The sequence below is a fragment of the Homo sapiens genome, chromosome 12, assembly GCF_000001405.40.
Source record: "Homo sapiens chromosome 12, GRCh38.p14 Primary Assembly".
Lineage (NCBI taxonomy): Eukaryota > Metazoa > Chordata > Mammalia > Primates > Hominidae > Homo > Homo sapiens.
In genome coordinates, this window is record NC_000012.12 from 76523788 (window position 1) to 76545405 (window position 21618).

The window sequence follows — 21618 nt, forward strand, 5'->3', positions numbered from 1 at the left end:
ATCTAGTCTACAGTATTTTATTACAGCAGCCCAAGCAGACTTAGACATCCATGTACTCACTTCCAAGAAAAAGAAAACTTAAATAGCAATATAACTCTTCATTTAACTCAAAAAACAAAGAAATTATGAATATGACAAATCTTCTCAATGGCAAAGCATAACTTCCCTTTAAAAGACTATGATGACTATAAAACAATATGGAAAAGAGATTATGATACGTTAACTTTTTTAGAAAACAAAATACAGTATATAAGTACTATGAATTAGAATCATTTATAGTACATACATAAACAAAGAATGAAGGAAAGAGAAAAAATGGCACTAAGATGAATGAATGAATCCTTTAATGTTGTTAACAGACTGTTCTCATAATAAATAAAATTGGAGCTAAATAAGATATAGGAATAAAAATGTCCATAAGCACCAAACTATAACCCTAAATTAAAAACTGTCTATGAAAGCAATATAATAGCAGGCACAAAAATTTCATAGAAAAAACTATGTACAAATTTAAATCTTAGAAGATTATAAGTTATTTGTTAGGAGGTGATAATTTCAACTCTGCTGGCCTTTTAGCATCCTATAACTACTGACAGTACAACTAAAAATTTAACTTGGAAAACCAAATAAGAGTAGTAAGAGCAATTAAATTTTTTTTTAAATGGCAGGGCCTTTCCCAAATGTTTTCCATACACCATCACTGATCTTCACACAAATCCTGAAAAACGGGTATAATAATTGGAAAGTGTTGCTTTTGTTTTAAAAACAAAGAAAGGACAACCAGGTATTACACACTTCCTGATACAAAGTATATACCACTGTGAAGTTTTTTTTGGCAAAAAGAAAAAAGAAAAGAAAATCAAAATTAATTCATATCAAGACTAGAGATCTAATTACTTTTTTTTTTTTTTTTTGAGACGGAGTCTTGCTTTATTGCCCAGGCTGGAGTGCAGTGGCACAATCCTGGCTCACTGCAACCTCCGCCTCCCAGGTTCAAGTGATTCTCCTGCCTCAGCCTCCCAAGTAGCTGGGATTACAGGTGCACAGTACCACGCCCAGCTAATTTTTGTATTTTTAGTAGAGACGGGGTATCGTCATGTTGGCCAGGCTGGTCTCGAACTCCTGACCTTAGGTGATCCGCCCACCTCAGCCTCCCAAAGTGCTGGAATTACAGGCGTGAGCCACTGCGCCCAGCCATAATTACAATTTTAAATGACACACGGTGATCAATTTGCAAACTCCAGGCTGTGGTAAACTACAAAACAACTAGGCTTCTTTAACAAACTGCAAAGGGGGGTAAAAACAGGAGAAACCTATGGCTTAAAAGATACTTGAGAGGCATACTAACCACTGAGGTGTATAGACCTTGTTTGAATCCTGATACGAATAAATTTTTAAAAATTTCTCAGAATTATTTGAACATTTGCTGGATATTTTATGTCATTAAGAAATTTTCCTGATATTTTACAGGATAATATTTATATAAAGTTTATATATGAAAAAGAGTAAACAGAAAAATATACACATAAAGTAACACAATCTCTGAAGGTCTTTTTAAAAAAGTGAGGAAAAGGAATATGTGATATTTTTACCAAATATTTATTTGACATGACCATTACTTATGTAATAAGTCAAAGAATGTTCAAAACTAAATGTGAGGTTAATTACTGGTGTGTGACACAGAATATAAGTAATTTGAGGGAAGAGCAATATTCATTATGCATAAATGGTAACACTGTAGATACATATGCTCTTAACTGATAATTGATCTATTTGAACTTTAAAACGTCTACTCTCAAATTGGGGGGAAAAAACTTAAGACTACAACAAAATTAACTGCAGATCAAATATGACAAATATTTTAACTTTGAATTATTGGACAGAGGAACTGAAAATTGAATATTTACCTAATACATGAAGAAATAACTTATCTTTGAGGGAGTATAAAAAATAAAAGAAAAATGTCCCCAAATGTAATAACATTTTAAACATTTACAAAAATAAAAAAACAAAGGGAAAACTACAAAGGTAAAAACTGTAATGTACAAAGAACCCATTCAATTATGTAAAATATTAAGACTTCATTTATTTCACTGAACTAGTATTTTTGAATACCTACTACGTGCCAACCATTGTGCTAGGTGCTTATCCCTGAAGGGAGAGTTACTACAAGGGAGCACAGGAGAGCCTACTGGGGTGCTGGAAATAGTCTATATCTTCACTTGAATAGTGGTTACTTGGATATATACATAGGTAAGAGTTGTGGACTTCAGTGTAAGTTGTACATGAAAAGTTCATTTGTGTTGCTTTCCACTTCTGCTAACTGTTCTTATACACACTATTTCAATTTTAATTCACAGAACCTTGAAACAAATTTCTACATAGAGTATTACATGTCGTCTTATGACAGACGTTTTAAACAATCCAGGAGGAGAAAACAGATGTATACATTTAAAAAAAGTTTCCATTAATAGAAAATAATTACATCAGTGGGTTCTATTTATTGATATATATATCACAAAAGTATTAATTGAACGTTTTTCAAATGTTTATTTCTCCATCAGCCACATACTTTAATTATGCCGCCAGTTATGAATTTAATGATTTTCCCCCATATCAACATTTCTCAGTAGTCAGTGTACCAATTTCATAATTTTTGCTATGCACTACTAGTATACAGTTACTTAATTTTTTTTTACTGGCCTTTAACTTTGATTAGCCTCAACTAATAAAATCCATGAATTTACTGGCTTAAGTCAAAAGCTGCATATTTTCTAATATATAATATATAACTGTAAAAATTACACGAGGAGATACACAAATGTTATACTTGCTATCAGTAAATCTCTTTTTTTTTTTTTTTTTTTTTTTTTTTTTTTTTGAGACAGGGTCTCACTCTGTCACCTGGGCTGGAGTGCAATGGTGCGATCTCGGCTCACCACAACCTCCGCCTCCCGGGTTCCAGCAACTCTCCTGTCTCAGTCTCTCAAGTAGCTGGGATTACAGGCGTGCACCACCATGCCCAGCTAATTTTTGTATTTTTAGTAGAGACAGGGTTTCACCATGTTGGCCAGGCTGGTCTCGAACTCCTGACCTCAGGTGATCCACCGTCTCAGCCTCCCAAAATGCTGGGATTACAGGTGTGAGCCACCATGCCTGGCCAGTAAATCTCATTTTTAAGTCCAGAGCTCTATTGAGAACTAAGTGTGAACCACTTTACACCTCTGGACCTCAGTTTCCTCATAAGTAAAATTATGAGGCTAAAATGTCAATTACTGACACTCATTAAAATTCTAATATTCTACAATCTAACAGCCAGCAGTTTTACCTGCTGTCTATATATTGCTGACATAATCACTGCAATGCAAAAGAATGTAAGGTATACGGTACCACCTCAACTTTAAGGTCCATATTAGGACCTGTCTTTAGAGTAATAAATTAAGGAGGGTGGTGGGCCGGGGTGGGGGGGGATTGTGCAACATGAGGCAACTTACAATAACTACAACCAATCAATAAAGTACATTAATTACAGTTTTCTAAGGTTTTTCAACTTCAATTAAAACCCTTTGATCCTACCTAATCAGGAAAAAGTCAGCTCTTCAAAAGAAAAATCAGTTCAAGTAGGAAACCAAAACAATATGTTAAACATTTTATTACAACTGAAATATACATATATCTCCAATCTTTTGATGGAAAGCCTTATCATCGAGTATAAATCTGTCAATTAGAATTACATATCTTCCTTGTTTAAACCACAGCTATAATACATGGGTCTGAGAGCTCTACGGGTAGTTCTTTAAAGTGAAGCAAAATTTAAAACATTTGTAAAGCCATCAGTTTGGAGAATCCTACATGTTCCAATTACTTTCCTACCTTTTCTAGTTATCGAATTATCTTATCCATACCAAGACAGGCCCAGGGAAATGCCTACAAAAAACATTGAGTTGCAATACAGAAGAGTCCTGAGCTTAGGGAACCCAAATATTTTATAATGGACAGCAAGAATGCCTGCCTTTTCTTTTCCTAAGGAGGAAAATACTATCATTATCTTCCAAGGCTGCTCACTAGATAAACATTCTTGAAAAGGTAGTCTAGAGTAACAGGCAGTCAGTGCTTTACTTGCAAGATATGCAGAAATGCAAGAAATCAATAAAGAGTTGTCTTCCAACTGTCTGTTTATCCCTGTCTACTTAACTGCTACCAAATACAACCCCCTGTAGCATTTTACCTTCTAATATATAAGCATTATTGTTGGCCAGGCACGGTGGCTCACACCTGTAATCCCAGCACTTTGGGAAGCCGAGGTGGGCGGATCACGAGGTCAGGAGTTCAAGACCAGCCTGACCAACATGGTGAAACTCTGTTTCTACTAAAAATACAAAAATTAGCTGGGCATGGTGGCACATGCCTGTAATCTCAGCTACCTGGGATGCTGAGGCAGGAGAATTGCTTGAACTGGGACCTGGGAGGCGGAGGCTGCAGTGAGCCAAGATCATGCCACTGTACTCCAGGCTGGGCTACATGCAGAACGAGACTCCGTCTCAAAAAAAAAAAAAAAAAAAGTATTATTATTAATAACAGAAGATGAAATCATGATTCACGAGCCATTTCTAAGAAACTTCACTCTTGTAAATAAGAGTTAGTTTTGATTACCAGAATTTTTTCTATGTGCTTTTAGACAATTTGAACAATCCTTTTATATTTTATATATAAATCATGCCTTGTCGAGTCCAGTCTTAATAACCAAATGCCTCTGCAATGAAGTTAGTCATCACCCAAAAAGCTTCAGAAATTAAATGAATCAAGTGAGTACTATAGAAAGGGTACATCCTAAAATAAAAGATAGTTGTCACAAGCCAAAGAAGATAAGGAAGTGTAACAGAATCACACACACACACACACCCACACAACGATATAGCTATAGTATTAGCTATAGCTATAGCTACAGACAGCTACTAGGGAAGGCTGAGGTGGGACAATCACTTGAGCCCAGAAGGCAGAGGTTGCAGTGAGCTATAATGGCGCCACTACACTGCAGCCTGGACAACAGAGGGAGACCCTGTCTCAAAAAAATAAAAATAAAAATAAGTAAAGTATAGCAACTTTAAAATTTCATCAAATTTTTCACTTCTCCCAACCTCCTCTCAAGCTATAACACAATCTTATGCCAGAATTAACCAAGGATACCAAAGTCCAAAACAGGGGTAGTGTGGTCTACCTCTGAAAAAGCAGTATGAAGTTATTATGTCACTACTTCATTTCAATCTTAGTTTTGTTTTGTTTTTTTTTAACTATGACAAAGCTAAAATATCATTATGAATTTCAAATGTGAGAAACATTAAGGATTCTAAGCTGTTTCTTATACTAAGGGCTTCTGCTTAGGAACAACAATTATTTAAAGCATTATGAACTAACAATCAGAAACTGAACTAGGATATTAAGGTGCACACTATAAGGAAAATACAAGATAATGCTAAAACTTCAGAAAAATAAATTTAAGAAAACTGGAATCCTTGCTATTTTTCCCTTCTTGGGCACTTGTTACTATCCCCTTCCAAAAACAAATCAGTTGGTGAGTGGATTTGTAGAAACCTAATCAAAGCTTAGAAGGTATGTCAGATTACGAAACCCAGCTGAAACCTTTTGAGCCTCTAAACCATGAAGCAACTAACCATTTGTACTTGCCTTAGAATAGCAGTGTCATGCCAGCTCTGGATTACCTACCTGCTACTACCAAACAGAAAAAAAAAAAAAAAAATTCTTATTTAAGCCACTGTTCATTTGGCTTTCTATTAAAACAGTAGATCTGTATCTGAATACATCGTTGAAACCCTTTCTGTGAAAAACTGAAGAAGCTAGTGGGGGAAGAAGACTCGAGATAAGAATAGGCTCATTATTCAAAGGCCAGCATGGCTAAAGCATAGTAAGCAATGAGGAGAACTATCTGAGATAAGGCTCTAGAGACAGTAGAGTCTGGATTTTATTCACTGTGAAAGAGGAAACCAATGAAAAGCCTATGCAAGGCAGGAACATGATCCACTTTATACTCGAAGACACATTACTAGTTGCTTTAAATGCATTATTACATAATGTAGTCATCACATAAACCCTATAAAGCAAGTAATTTTTCACTATAGCCCCATTTTCAAAATGAAGACACTAAGGCTCAGAGTAGTGAAGTAACATGCTGATTGCTCATTCTGCACCATCCACAAAAGCCTCTATGATATGATATTCCTTTAACATGTCAAGCAGATTTCCACATTTTTTTTCTTTTCTTTTTAGACACAGGGTCTCATTCTGTTGCCCAGTCAGGAGTGTGGTGGCAAGATCATAGTTCACTATAATCTCAAACTATTGGAAACAAGGGATCCTCAGCCTTACTCAGCCTCCCAAGTAGTAAGAACTATAGGCACGTGCCACCGGGCCTGGCTTTTTTTTTTTTTTTTTTTTTGTAGAAAAGTCTCACTATGTTGCCAAGGCTGGTTTTGAACTCCTGGCCTCAAGCAATCCTCCCTCCTCAGCCATCCAAAGTCCTAGGATTACAGCTGTGAGCCACCACACCCAGCCACCACAAGGTTTTTGTATCTGCTGTTCTTTGCCTAAAACACTCTTCCTTATGGTTCACTCTCTCACTTCTTGCAGGTTTCTTTGTTTAAATGCCATTTTATCAAATAGATCTTCCCTGACCATCCTAGCTACAAATAGCAAAATAGCAACTTGCCTCCTCCCATTCTTTTATTCATCTTTTTACCAACTACTTTTTTTTCCAAGACACTTAACACCTGACACACACATTTGTTTATATCCCCACATGTAAGTATAGTATATTATATCCCCAAATAGAAGCGCTCCATAAGCAGTTTGTTTTGTTCAGTGAGGTATTCCCAACACCTAGAAGAGTGCCTATCACAGGAGGTGCCTATCACAGTAGGTGCTCCTTAGACACTTAAGAATTGTGGACTGGCAGAGATAAGGAGCTAACTTTATCATCAAGCAAACAGACTCTTTATAGTATAATAAAGCAATAAAGGCATGAAGGCTTAATTCACTTCCCTGAAGACATAACTAACAAAGGAGTATTAGACTGAAGATCTTCCACTTCCAGAAACAACATAAGTTCTCATCAATGAACTACATAAATGAACCCAACTATAGACATAATAAATTGCCATCCCTATTATTTTTATTAAATGTTATAGTACCATTGTGTTAGTCCATTCTCACACTGCTATAAACAACTGCCCGAGACTGGGTGATTTATAAAAAGAGGTTTAACTGACTCACAGTTCCACATGGCTGAGAAGGCCTCAGGAAACTTACAATCATGGCAGAAGGCAAAGGGGAAGCAGGGACCTTCTTCACATGGTGGCAGGACAGAGAAGAGTGAGCAAGAGCAGGGAAAATTGCCTTATAAAACCACCAGAAGTGCTTTTTAAAGTCATTGTATCACCTTTTATCACTCACTTAGCATCATAAAACAAGCACAAAGAAAAACAAGTTGTGTTACTTAAGTGACACCATTCTCCTTTTCTTAGTTAGCTTCCAAGCAGATCAGCAATCTAAATTTGACTTTCAGTAATTCAATGGTAATAAAGTATTCCCTCCATCATTCAAGTTAGGTCCAACTCAGGTTATAAAAACTAGTCCCTTCAGACCAATTGCTTGTACATTTCTACAGGCACCTTTTTGGCAAACCCACATGGATTTTAAGAAATGGAGAATGAGGAGACAGGAAAATATTAATAAGATGTATCAAACTGTGACAATATGTGAAGAGTACTGTGTATATACAAACAGGAAACAATTGAAAGCCTTCAACATGTGTGGGTTGGGGGAGAGATAACTGAATTAACAGGCCATGTAGTAAAACTTAAAATCAAATCCAGTAGTCTTGAAGGTATAGTAATTGTTTAGTTTTGAAGGTATAGTAATTAAGTACTGCGCACTAAAAAAAACTGACCAAAAGGCCGGGTGCGGTGGCTCACGCCTGTAATCCCAGCACTTTGGGAAGCCGAGGCAGGCAGATCACGAGGTCAGGAGATCGAGACCATCCTGGCTAACACGGTGAAACCCCATCTCTACTAAATATACAAAAAATTAGCCAGGCATGGTGGTGGGCACCTGTAGTCCCAGCTACTCAGGCGGCTGAGGCAGGAGAATGGCGTGAACCCAGGAGGCGGAGCTTGCAGTGAGCCGAGATCGCGCCACTGCACTCCAGCCTGGGCAAGAGAGCAAGACTCCTTCTCAAAAAAAAAAAAAAAAAAAAACTGACCAAAAAATACACAGAAATTGACAAATCTGTTCCTTAAAATTTTTCTTTTCTAAACAAAAATTTTTGTTGTGGACTGTATCTGAGGCACTATATTCTCTAAGAAGAGAAAAAAAAACTGTACTCCTTCAGCTGAAATAACATTCTAATTTCTCTGATATTCACCCCCAATTAAACTAGGTGGTATCAGAAAATGAAAAGCACTTAATATATTTAAGAAAATACCATAGTGAAAAAAAATCACTATAAATTATCTATTTTAAGCAAAACTATTTGATGTTGCTCAAACAACATAGCAAAACTAGATCATTTCACTTTATTATTTGTTAAAAATCATCTCCCTTCGTCACACACTGAATCTATGAAGTAATTAATAATGAATACAATGAATGCTTATATGTATTAGGATCATGGCAAATCTATAAAGGCTGAAAGGCTTGGGTTCAGCCAATGAAGTTAATATTGTATTATAAGATTTCTAAAAATGTTATATCCACCTAGAAACTACGGCAGTATTGGATTTTTGTTTTAACCTGTCCGGACCCATTTCCCCTTCCTCTGTTAACATCCACCTTGATCTTCTTTTGGGAAAGGAACATCCCTCCTCCAACATATGCAATCTTGGTACTCCACGCTCTCCTAGCAAAAGGAGTGGACAAAAAAAAAAAGAGCCAGACCAATCAGTCCATGCCTGTCTCTCTCTCTCTGATAAATGTGAATCACAAGCAGAGTGATCACGTGAATGAAAAACAATCACAAAAAAAACTATCCTAATGGGGGCTCCACAAAGATTGTTGCTTTCTGCTCTCTAGATCCCTAAAGCTGTTCAAATGTCTACTATTTCTAAAACTCCATTTTTCATCTTGGAAGAAAATGAGCTTATCATCCTAGTAAATCATTTAAGTTACCCAAACCTTTCTATTACTTGAACCGAAAAACCCTAAATTGATATAGGTACTATTTAACACATTTGTAACCAAAATAGTCTACCTTTGAATAAGGAAATAAAATAAAAATTAACTTCAAAATATTTTTAAATGAATTTACAAAAGTAAAATCAATGTCAGACATAGAACATTTTAAAACACCATATATCCTATCATAAGAAAAAAATACAATAGCATAGTATTCATTTATGTGTTTCTTGCTAGGTTTTTAAACTCCATTACATAAGACCTATCCTATAACCATATGCAAGAACCAGGTTTTTTTTAAGACCAGGTTTTGATAATAATCATAAGGAGAAAAAAATGTTTACTCAGGAATGTAATCTCTTCTTCAATTTTCATTTGGATCCTACTACTCAAGGTGCCTTCTCTGGAGCTCCTGCTTCATTTCCTCTTACCCACTATCAAATGAAGGATTTGCGGTAAACTTCATGATTAGGACTAAGAAGAAAAACATTTCTAAAAATATCTATTTGAGCAGCTGACTGATGTTTCCATTTGTCTGACTGATCTTGCAATCCACTGAAGTCTTTATGAGGCAAACACAGGAGCAGACACAAACAAGTGATGACCAGCCCTCCAAAAGCACTTAACAACGATCAGTCTATATCAACAACTTAAAGGCGAGAAACTCAAGCGCTCAGAAATGAGATTATTAACCTCATCTCCACCTCATTACCTACCGGTTTTCCAAAATTCTAAGCTGTTATCAAGTGCAAAGCTTAGAAATGTCTTTCAAAGGACAAATGTGATTTCAGTAGGAAAAAAAATACATCTATATTCCTACTATAGCCTGGGACTTACTATTCATCAAAACAAGTTAATTCAAATGCATAACCAACATCTATAGTCATTTCCAGTAGGTGAGAAATGAGGCAAAATAAACAGAAGATAAAATCTCTATCTAGGAAAGCACACGATTTAATCGGAAAGACCAAAAATACACGTGAAATAAAACATTCATATATAATCAATATTATAATTGAATATGCTACATTTTACCTTTTCTCCTAATATTTTTACTGTAAACTAAAGTGGTTTAAGAAGGGGAAAATACCTGAGTGCTATTTTGAAACCAGGAACTGTATTCATTAATGAGATTTTTTAAATGTCCATTTATATGTAGTCAGAAACAAAATTAAATGCAATTTTTATCTAACATTTTTCTTCAATTCAACATGTTCCCAATTAACACACACTATAGTTTGGCAACTGCCATTACAGTACCTCAAATGTTCCTGCAAAAGACTGCTTCAGGCAAGGATAGGAATGTTTCTGTTAAAGAATGGGCGAAGAAGGAAAAGAAACACAATTTTAAATTGAAAAGTGTTACAATTTCATTTCCTGTCAAGTATCAGACGTGGTATTTAAACACAGGGCTTCTGGTACACACTTTTGTTGCTGCAACCCCAATTTACTGACCTTGTCAAAAATCATATACTATTGGAATCTAGAGTTGCTTACTACCAATAACGGGCTAAAGAAGAATACCAATTGCTGTCTAATTCCTTCCGACTAGCTGAAAGTACTTTGCTTCTTCCTTAATATATACAATATCTGCATTGGAAAATAACAAGCAGGAAGTCCCTGGTGGTGGCAACATCTTGGAAAGCAGAAACTCACAAAAAGAAACAAATGAAAAACAAAAATCAGCAACACATACACACAAGCAATGAGGTCAAGAGAGTAAACTATGCAAAGTTTTTTTACTATTTTCGAGATGATGTTGGTTTGGAAGATTTACACTACCTTCAAAACTTACAAAAACATTCAAAATAATGTGGTACTAGCATACCGCACATATATCAATGGAATAGAATAAGGAGTCTAGAAATGGACCCATAAACAGAGTCAATTAATTTTCAACAAAACTGCCAAGGAAACCCACTGGGAAAAAGAAAATACTTTCAGTAAAAACTGGATATTCATTAAAAACAACAAGAACAACCAAAACAGCCTGGCTTTTATACTAAACAAAAATTAACTCAAAATGAATCACAAATCTAAATACAAAAGCCAACATTATAAAACTTCTAGAATAAAAATGGGAAAATAAAAATTTGTAGACAAAAAAATTCTTAAGATATGCAAAAAATATAAACCATGAAAGAAAACAGATATGCTAAATTTCAAAAAATTAAATTACTTCTCTTTAAAAAGTTTTTAAAAAAGGCAAGACATAAACTGTTAGAAAATATGCACAACACATATATTAGACAAATGACTCAGATTCTGACTATATAAAGAACCTTCAATAAGAAATCAATAAGAAAACAATTTTTTAAATGAATAAAAGATTTAAACAATTTACAAAAAAAAATACAAATGGCTAATAAATCCAAGAAAAGATGCTTACTACCACAGTCATCAGCGAAACGCAAATGAAAAACCACAATGAGATACTATTACACAACCACTAGAATGTTAATTAAATTTTTTTAACTGAAAATGTAAGTGTTGATGAGAAGGGGAGCAACTGGAACTCTCATACATTGCTGGTGAGATGCAAAATGGTACAGCTACTCTTAAGTATTTACCAAAGAAAAATGGAAACATGTCCACTCAAAAATTTGTACATGGATGTTCACAGTAGCTTCATTTACAATAACCGAAAATTACAAACAAGTCAAATGTCTATCAAAAGGTGAATGGATAAACAAATTGGATATTCATTACAATACTGTAATAGTATTCCTATACCATGGAATACTATCCCAAAATAAAAAGGAATAATCTCAAAAATATGCAGGGCAAAATAAACCAGACAAGAGTACATACTCTATGATTCCGTTCATATGAAATCTTAGAACAGACAAAAGCAATCCACAGTAACAGAACCCGAATCAGTCATTGTCTGACATAGAGTAGGAAAGGGAAAGATTAAGTTCAAAGGGCACAAGAGAATTTTGGGGACTGATGGAAAGTTCTATATCTGTATCTATTGTGGTAGCAGTAACATGGGTGTATACATCTGTCAAAATGAATCAAACTATGTACTTAAAATGGTTTCATTTTATTCAGGTGTAAATTATACCTGAATAAAGTAGTTTGGGTTTTTTTTAGTATTTTTTTTAAGTGATATTGGGGGGGTGTGAGGTGGAAAGCAGGAAAGACTACAGAAGTAGCGAAAGGCAAAATGATGCTGTTTAAGTAACAATGTTTAAAATCAGAAAAAATGTAAAAAATCTAGCACAACTAGGCCTGGTGTGGTGGCTCACACTTGTAATCCTAGCGCTTTGGGAAGGCGAGTCGGGCAGATCACCTGAGGTCAAAAGTTAGAGACCTGCCTGGCCAACATGGTGAAACTAAAAATACCAAATACTAAATACTAAAATACTAAATATTAAATACTAAAAATACCAAAAAAAAAATCAAGCCCAACTAAAACCAAGAGTGTAACTGAGATAATTAATTTTGTCTGTAAAAATGGGAATAACTCACAGGATAGCTGTAAAAAATAGATGAGATAGTTAATCTTATCACTGTACTACTTAACACTATGTATGCTGGTAAATTACAGCAACACAATTCATATTAGTTGAATTTGTATCTACCCATGGTAAGTGTTAAGGTGAAGCAAAGAAAATAAGTAAAAGTAACATGGAATAAATCCTGAAAGAATTTCTAGAGGAAATTATCTTAAGATGCCACTTTTGAAAAGAGAAAAGGAAATGGGTGGAAAGGAAGGAGAGACCTACAGGTGGAGGGAATGGTAATGTGCAGAAGAACGGAGGCGGAAAGGAGCAAGTCATATGTATGAGATGGCAAAATTAGCATGCCTGTGGCAGCAAATCCATATATAGGAGTATCAAAAAAAAAAAAAAAAAAACGAGTAATCTTCCCATCTGACGCGAACACTCATTTAAATGTTACAGTAGGACCCAGAAATGTAACTTCATCCAGTGGATGCTATGATACATGATAAATATATTCAACCATTTAAAACAGAGAAAAATAAAAAGTTCTATCTTTGTGTTTAAAAAATGAGAATGCTTACAATTACCAGCTTCAGTCTCTTGGAGGTTAGCCACAGTTCTTCCCAAAAGAAAAAAAAATTATAATTATTAAAATATAATTATAGCTAAGCAACATATGGACTTGCTGTGCAGCTGTCCCTGTGCTTCTGAAACTATGAAAGCCTTTACATTTTGCAAAGTCTGATTTCTATAAATGACTGGTATTTGGAAAATAAGATACAAGAAAATCTGCCCAAGTAACTAATCAGCTACAACAAGAATTATTTCATAGCATACTACTTAAAAGGTATCAAGACACTAAAATTGTATTTCAACAGACATAGTATGACCAAGATCAGGATTCCTGGGCATTTATAACTTTAAACTGTTTTTACATTTATACATTTAAACGTGTTTAATTAAAGAATGCAGGGTTACCACTGTTATGATGTGCAAACTAACTTAAATCTTAAGATTTTGCTTATAGAACAGTGTTTCATATACAGAAAAGTATTATTTTCAATGTCTTATCACTGAGAAGAGATAACAAAGATAATAGTTATAGTAATAACTTGAGCAAATTAAGTTCTCTGAATGAGAGAAATCTACAGAAATGTACGATGAGAGAGATTCACAATGAGAAATAAAATATTAAAGGACAACAGGCCAGGCACGGTGGCTCACACCTGTAATCCCAACACTTTGGGAGGCTGAGGCAGGTGGATAACTTAAGGTCAGGAGTTCAAGACCAGCCTGGTTAACATGGTAAAACCCCGTCTCCACTAAAGATAGAAAAATTAGCTGGGCATGGTGGTGGGTGCCTGTAATCCCAGCTACTCAGGAGGCTGAGGCATGAGAATCACTTGATCCCAGGAAGCAGAGGTTGCAGTGAGCTGAGATCGTGCCACTGCACTCCAGCCTGGGCAACAGAGCAAGACTCCATGTCTAAAAAATAAATAAATAAAATAAAATAAATAAAGACAGTAATACTGACCTTTAAACGCAGTAGCACCAATGGAGATTGCTGAGGACAACAAAGTTACAGGGTTAAATTAATTTAAGTCTCTTTATTGAGAAAGGCTGTTATATAGTGGCAGTCAGCTAACTAACAAGGTTTTATCTGCTCCATCTACATCAAGGCCATACCAATTAGAGACCTTGACTCAGAGTAGAGAATGTAGAGGTTAAAGAATAACCTTAACGACTTTTGCTTTTTGAACCCATATATTATACATCAATGTAGTCACTAAAATATTTACAAACACATAAAAATTTGATGTGTTATATTGCTCAGAATCATGAATAATTTTTCTTTTCATGATAGTATTTTACACTATTAAATACTTTTTAAACCACTAACTATATATTCACTAAAAGTATATATTTATTCCTATTTTAAGAAACACAAATTGGAAAACAATTCTTAATAATAAGATTAGCAATAAAACACTAGTCAAGACCTGTCACTAACTTTTGTTTTTTTGTTGAAAGAAGATTTTAGGAATGTGACACAGCTATAGATTATTTTTAAATGAGGATTATGAAATATTTTAAATCAAACACCTGTAAGAATGATTAAAGGGATGACAGGCAACATGAGAGCAAGCCCTTTAAGTATAGTTCAAAGGCTTTATCATTGTAAACAAACTTATTTAAAGGTAAGAAATTTGTCTATGGGACATCTATATTATTCAGAACTTTGAGACCCAGTGCAGTGGCTCACACCTGTAATCCCAGCACTTTGGGAGGCCAAGGCAGGCAGATCACTAGAGGTCAGGAGTTTGAGACCAGCCTGGCCAACACGGTGAAATCCCATCTCTACTAAAAATACAAACATTAGCCGGCTGTGGTGGCACATGTCTGTAGTCCCAGCTACTCGGGAGGCTGAGGCAGGAGGCTGAACCTGGGAGGCAGAGGCTGCAGTGAGCCAAGATCACAACACTGCACTCCAGCCTGGGTGACACACCAAGACTCCATCTCAAAAAAAAAGAAAAAAAGAAAAAAGATTAGAACTTCGAGGATGAAGTTCAAAATTGAAAGGAATAAAAAAGGAATGAGAAGTCCTAAGAGCCTGCTATTAAATAACTGGGGGGGGGGAGGGGGAGGGTAAGTATCCTGAATCTCTTACTTAGGGTAGGAAGTATATTTTGAACCACCTACCTTAAAACCATGCCACCCAACAGCCACACAGAGAAAAAAAAAAGACAGATATCAACTTTTTTAAAAGTAAATTTAAATTAAAGCTCTGCCTAGGGAAGCCATTGTTGGAGTCATTCATTTTCTCAATATTCTTCTCTATGCGTATTTATGTCTCTGTTTTAATAAAACCCTATGCAGAAAAAATAAGTAAAATTTTTAAGTGTTTAAGCAAAAAGTCAAAAAGGGCAAAGAAATTTAAACATATGTAAAGGTAACAAGAAAATATTAGAAAAATAAATGCCAAAGTTTAAGAATAAGAGTGTACAAAATGTCAATGTACTAAGAAGACTATGGACAAAGATAAAAACAGATAAAAATAAAAGGAAATACAAATGAAAAACTAAAACAAAATAACATCAGCAACTTAAGACACTGAAAGCAAGAAAACAAAAGCCATCTTTCAATCAACGTAATATTAATAATGTAGCAATGTTAATTCAAAAAATGAACACCTTTACCCAAACACTCTTCAAAGACTGCTTTTCCCTCCTAAGATTTTTCATGAAAACTTTAGTTAGCAAATAATCTCACGATAAAAAGCCGAAGAGTGAAGAGCACAGCTCCTGGTCTCATACCAATGGCTACTATCCCTAGTGCTCCGGCTTTTCTAAGACACTTATACAAGAAGATAGCACGATCCCTCAAAGAATGCTGAGCAGGCCGTAAGTGCCATTTGTCTAACTTCCCATGAGCAGTCAACGGGTACAACCAAACATAGACCCATACACATCCCACATCCCCTAAAAAAGTAGTCTGGATTTTCAGTCAGAAAACAGTCGGCTTCAAGGAAGCTTCTTTTTTTAGGTCATTGTTATCTTAAAAGCAGTAGGCATGCCTGCTGAGTATACCAGTAAATGATAAGAAATCATCTTTTTGAATCTTGTTTCTAACATCCTTCCTCCCCCGATCATTGTGTTTTTAACTTGGCAAAGCTTATCCCCTTAAGTGTTCACAGCTAGATTGAGATCATTACTTTTCATATAAAATTCTAGAAAACATCTGCACTTTGAAATCCTGGCATTCCTTAACAGCATTCTAGAGCTATCAAGACACTTCAAGTCAACCTCTCAATAACCATAAATTTTAGAGATCACAAAATGAACACAAAAGGGTTAAGTGACTACTTGCCCAAGATCCCAGGGCAAGAGACCAGAACCAAGGTCTCTTGAGTCTAAGTCTAAGGTTGTAAGAATAAAATACACGCAATCAATGGGAGGAATTATTAGGAATCTGACTTTTAGATTTAAGATGTATTGATTGGTAGAAAAACTGCAAAACAACATTACAATAGAATACGAGTTCTGTTTTTAAAAAAATTATATAGTCGTGTGTGTGTGTGTGTGTGTGTGTGTGTGTGTGTGTGTGTACAGAGAGAGAAATCTAGAAGAATAACACCAAACTGCTAACAAGGTGGGCTATTTCAGACATAAAGTGGTGGCAACAGAAGCCAACTTAATGAGTTTTTATAGCTGCTGGAATTTATATTGAGCACACATTGATATAATAATCATATTTTTTCTTTAAAAAAAAAAAAACTTCAGACAAGCAAACACATTTCAAGCAGAAAATTATCCCAAAATGGCTTAAGTCTCTCTCACACACACATACACATGCACACAACTCCAAATATATTATTTGTAATTGAGATTAACCTTGAAATTACTTTTCACATCAAATGTGGTCTTCCCTTAAGAAGAGCAAAACCTTAACATATTAGAATTATTCTAACAAGTTACAGCAATCAAGAAAAGTAAAAGTCTGAATTATAAAATGCATTTAAAAACATTTTTCCTTTAGATACATAGTAGTAACAGAAAAAGAAAACACAGCTAGCAAATAATCTCAGGGTAGACCAAAAAGAGCAGAGCTCCTGATCTTTCATACCAACGGCTACTATCCCTAGTGCCCCAGCTTCTCTAAGACACATAACGCAAGAAGATGGCACAATTCCTTACACCATAATGGTAAATCTACAGTAGCAATAGAAAGTATTTGTAATAAATAAGTATTTGCAATTTAAAAATTATTTAGATGTGGTCAGGCGCGGTGGCTCATGTCTGTAATCCCAGCACTTTAGGAGGCCGAGGCAGGTGGATCACATAAGGCCAGCAGTTTGAGACCAGCCTGGCCAATACTGTGAACCCCATCTCCACTAAAAACACAAAAATTAGTCAGGTGTGGTGGTGCACGTCTGTAATCCAGGCTACTCAAGAGGCTGAGGCACAAGAATCGCTTGAACCCAGGAGGCAGAGGTTGCGGTGAGTCGACATTGTGCCACTGCACTCCAGCCTGGGTGACACAGAGCAAGACTGTCTCAAAAAATAATAATAATAATAATTAAATAATAAAAATTATTTAGATGTAAATGCATACTGCTTCAACAGTTTTTACCACATTAAAAATAGGCCATAGGCCAGTTGAGGTGGCTCACACCTGTAATCCCAGCACTTTGGGATACCAAGGTGGGCAGATCACCTGAGGTCAGGAGTTCAAGACCAACCTGGCCAACATGGCGAAACCCTGTCTCTACTAAAAATACAAAAATTAGCCAGGCTTGGTGGTGGGTGCCTGTAATCCCAGCTATTCGAGAGGCTGAGGCAGGGAGAATTGTTTGAACCCGGGAGGTGGAGGCTGCAGTGAGCTGAGATCGTGCCACTGCACTCCAGCCTGGGCAACATGACAAGACTCTGTCTCAAAAAATAAAAATAAATAAAAATAAATAAAAGTAGGCCGGGTGCAGTGGCTCACGCCTGCAATCCCAGCACTTTGGGAGGCCAAGGCGGGAGGATCACCTGAGGTTGGGAGTTCGAGACCCACCTGGCCAACCTGGAGAAACCCTGTTTCTACTAAAAATACAAAATTAGCCAGGCGTGGTGGCACATGCCTGTAATCCCAGCTACACGGGAGGCTGAGGCAGGAGAATCGCTTGAACCCAGAAGGCAGAGGTTGTGGTGAGCCAAGATCATGCCATTGCACCCCAGCCTGGGAAACAAGAGCGAAACTCCATCTCAAAAAAATAAAAATAAACATAAAAAAATAAAGCATAATGCTTACTTCACCACTCCCTCCCTTTAAAGACTCTCCAGTACTTTTAGTTCTTCTGTCTCTTTAACCAATCCTTTGACTCTTTCACTAGCTCTCCCTCTATCTCAGGGTTTCATTCTAGTAGAGATGCTTCTCTTCATCACACTCTCCACTACCACCTTCAGTGCAGGTACTGTCCATATCACCAGTCTAGAACTTTCTCTTGCATTCAAAAACCATATATCTAATGACCTAGAGCAGAGTTTTAAAAACTTTAGGATGCATCACAATCATCTGGAGGGCTTGCTCCAAAACAGATTTCTGACACCCACCCCCAAAGTGTCTGATTCTACAGGTCTGGGGTGGAGTCCAATAATCTGCATTTCTACTAAGTTCCCAAGTGATGTACTTTTAGAACCACTGGCCTACAGGATTCTCCCCTTGGATGAACCACAGGTACTCTAAACTGTCTCCCAGCATCTACCCTCATCACCCTCCAAACCACTACTCACTTAGCATCCAGAGAGATCAATCTAAACCTGACCATTTCACTCCTTTGTTTAAAATTCCCTAATAGTTTTCAAGAGACTTGAAGACAAAAAGCAAAATCCTTAACATGGTCTCAGGCCTCACATGATCCAGTCCCTACCTCCTATACCACAATGTTATCTTTCTCATATTTTTTAAAACACTCCAGTCACAGTGAACTCTTTCAGTTCTTAGCAAAGCCCAAGTTCCTTGATCTTCCAAAATCTTTAAACAAGATGTTCTGCGAGAAATATTCTTTTCTCCTTCAGATCATCACCTTCTTTGGCTCCCCTCCCCGACTAGGTGTGCATATTCTTATATTGCCCTATATTTCTTCCTCTCAGCACTTCCCACAATGGTAATTACATAGTGAATTGTGCAATTAGGAGTTTACTGTCGATCTTCTACCACTTCCCATACAAAAGCTCGAAGAGGTCAGCAAGCACATCTGCCTAGCTCCTACTGAATTTTCAGCCGCTTACATAGTAACTTGCACTGAAATCTATTGAATTAATGGTCTTGTAACATTAAATTATTCTGGAACCTCAAAGGGGAAAGTATTATTAAAAAGGTCCTAGAGGCATTTTTCAGTATCCTTTAATTTTTACAAATGAGGACACTTCATTAAAGTCCACCATCTGGGAGTTTAAAACAAGAAAAATAATACCTTCAAAATAGAAAATGAAATCTCCCTATCACAAGCTCCTCTGCAACAAGATATATAAATATGTTATCATACATATTACATATATATTTCTTCCTCTCAGCACTTCCCACAATGGTAATTACATAGTGAATTGTGCAATTAGGAGTTTACTGTCGATTTTCTACCACTCCCCACACAAGTTTATTATCTACACCAAGTATAGCACTGATATCCAAAAGCCATTCAGTCACATATAATGCTAAGATAATTTTTGCAAAAAAATTTAACTTAGATATAAGCCTGCATCAAAGAGTGCACTCCAATGGGGTAGCTGCCTGGAATTAAACTTAGCCATGGATAACCACAAACTACATAACTATTAATACAACTAATAATTAAATAAGCTAAGATAATTATTCACAAAAAGTTTAACTTACATGTAAGTCTGCATCAAAGAGTATACTCTGACAGGGTAGCTGCCCAGAATTAAACCTAGCTAGGGATAACCACAAATTACATAATAAATATTCATATAAACCAGAATTAAATTACCATTCAAATCTATGTAAATATTGTTCTATAGATTTTGATCTTCTTTAACATACGAAGAATAATTCATTCGCCAACACTTTTCTCTACAGCACAGTGCCAAATCACAGTAGCACCAACACGTGGGAAACAGAACAGGTGTAACACTCAGGATATAACTTTAATACAGCAGAATTAACATACAAATAAAGGTCATCTCCATTCAGAGTAGTCACTTTCAGAGACTAGTTTCAAGTTGCCATCCCACAAAACAATTTTGGAACTCCTCTTTTCTAACCACTTTCTTAGCTACCTCATAAATGACAAAAGAAGAAACAGTTTCACCCCTGCGGTCACTGCTTATTTATACTAAAAATGGCCTTCTTCATTTTGATCCTTAATTTTATGTGTGAGACTTGGTTCAGAAAGACTTGCCACCTTTTCCAAATACCAAATACCAAATCCATTCTCAAAAGATATAATTTGTCACCACAGAATGTAGGTTAAAAGAATGAGGTGAAAGACAGTAAAGAAATGTCAAATGCATTATTCCAAAAGTGTTTGTTGAACAATAGTGATATTATTGAAATAAGGTAACTTTGAACACACTGACCATCTCTTAGAGAAACACATAAGTTCTAGAATAATAATTTTAAAACTGGTCATATTTCTACTTTGGCACAACTCATAGACATGCCTGATACCTGACTTCTGATTTTCCTGAATGACGCATGCTATAAAGCAAAAGCACATTTATTATAAACTTCAGATTAAGAAATGTAACAAATTTTAAGAATAAGATCCGATGGTCTAATATAAACAACATGGCTTGGGTGGCAGTATGTTATACTAAAAGAACTTAACAGCTATAGAGTGAAATAGGCGAAGGTTCAACTTCTCACTTAGCTCCTTAGCAGCAACATGACTGAACATGTTACTTAAACACTGAGTCTAAAAAAAAAAAACAGGAATAATTCCATCTGTAAAACAGTTAGAATACCATCTATTTATTTCAGAGCTATTACAAGGATTACATAATATACTACCTGATTGGAATTTTAGCCTCTCTAAAGAATCTAAAAGGCCATTGGTTCCAAACTCTCCATTTTACTAGGACCCAGAGAGAGTAAGTGGTTTGCCAAGGTCACACAGTTACTTACTAGGAAAGATAACACTTCTTGCAGGTTTATTTTCCCAGTGCATCTGTTCTCTAAATCAGTCAGCATTTGTGATACTAGGTCGCATTGTGACAAGGGTGTCTCAAAGAGTAACTCAAGGCCTCTTAAAGATAATGCTTGCAAATATGATACTGGCAACCATATATTAATAATTTAGTCCTATACACTAAATGTCTGTTTTTAAAGTTAGATATTTTAAGTTACAGCTAAAACTACCCTGATTCTATGTAAATTTTGACCATTTTCTTGAAAGGTTATTTTCTAAGAAAAATATGAACACTGTTCTAAGATACTAGGAAAAAATTAATGAATTTCTCATTTATTAAGTATGATATCTGGT

At 35.8% G+C, this 21618-nt stretch overlaps 1 protein-coding gene across 16 annotated transcripts in view, besides 1 other annotated feature; it reads right to left on the bottom strand.

Moving 5' to 3' along the window:
* The window catches only part of OSBPL8 (oxysterol binding protein like 8), a 207975-nt gene that overhangs the window by 171991 nt on the left and 14366 nt on the right, over positions 1–21618 (bottom strand). For 4 of the 16 annotated variants that reach the window (XM_047428254.1, NM_001319652.2, XM_005268621.6 and 1 more), the window contains exons 2-4: positions 14170–14199; positions 13217–13254; positions 10447–10494 (exon numbers count right to left, since the gene is read on the bottom strand). The exons of 7 other annotated variants lie outside the window; for them this stretch is intronic. The gene's annotated coding sequence lies outside the window, so the exon portion shown is untranslated. The remainder of the gene's footprint in view (positions 1–10446; positions 10495–13216; positions 13255–14169; positions 14200–21618) is intronic. 5 more of the 16 variants (XM_017018769.3, XM_047428251.1, XM_047428249.1 and 2 more) reach the window with 2 other exon arrangements.
* Positions 7209–7937: an enhancer, noted in NCBI's record as "NANOG-H3K4me1 hESC enhancer chr12:76924776-76925504 (GRCh37/hg19 assembly coordinates)". NCBI's record gives its function as "activates a minimal SCP1, AML or CMV promoter by ChIP-STARR-seq in primed H9 embryonic stem cells {active_cell/tissue: H9 hESC(primed)}" and the evidence as "EXISTENCE:reporter gene assay evidence [ECO:0000049][PMID:30033119]".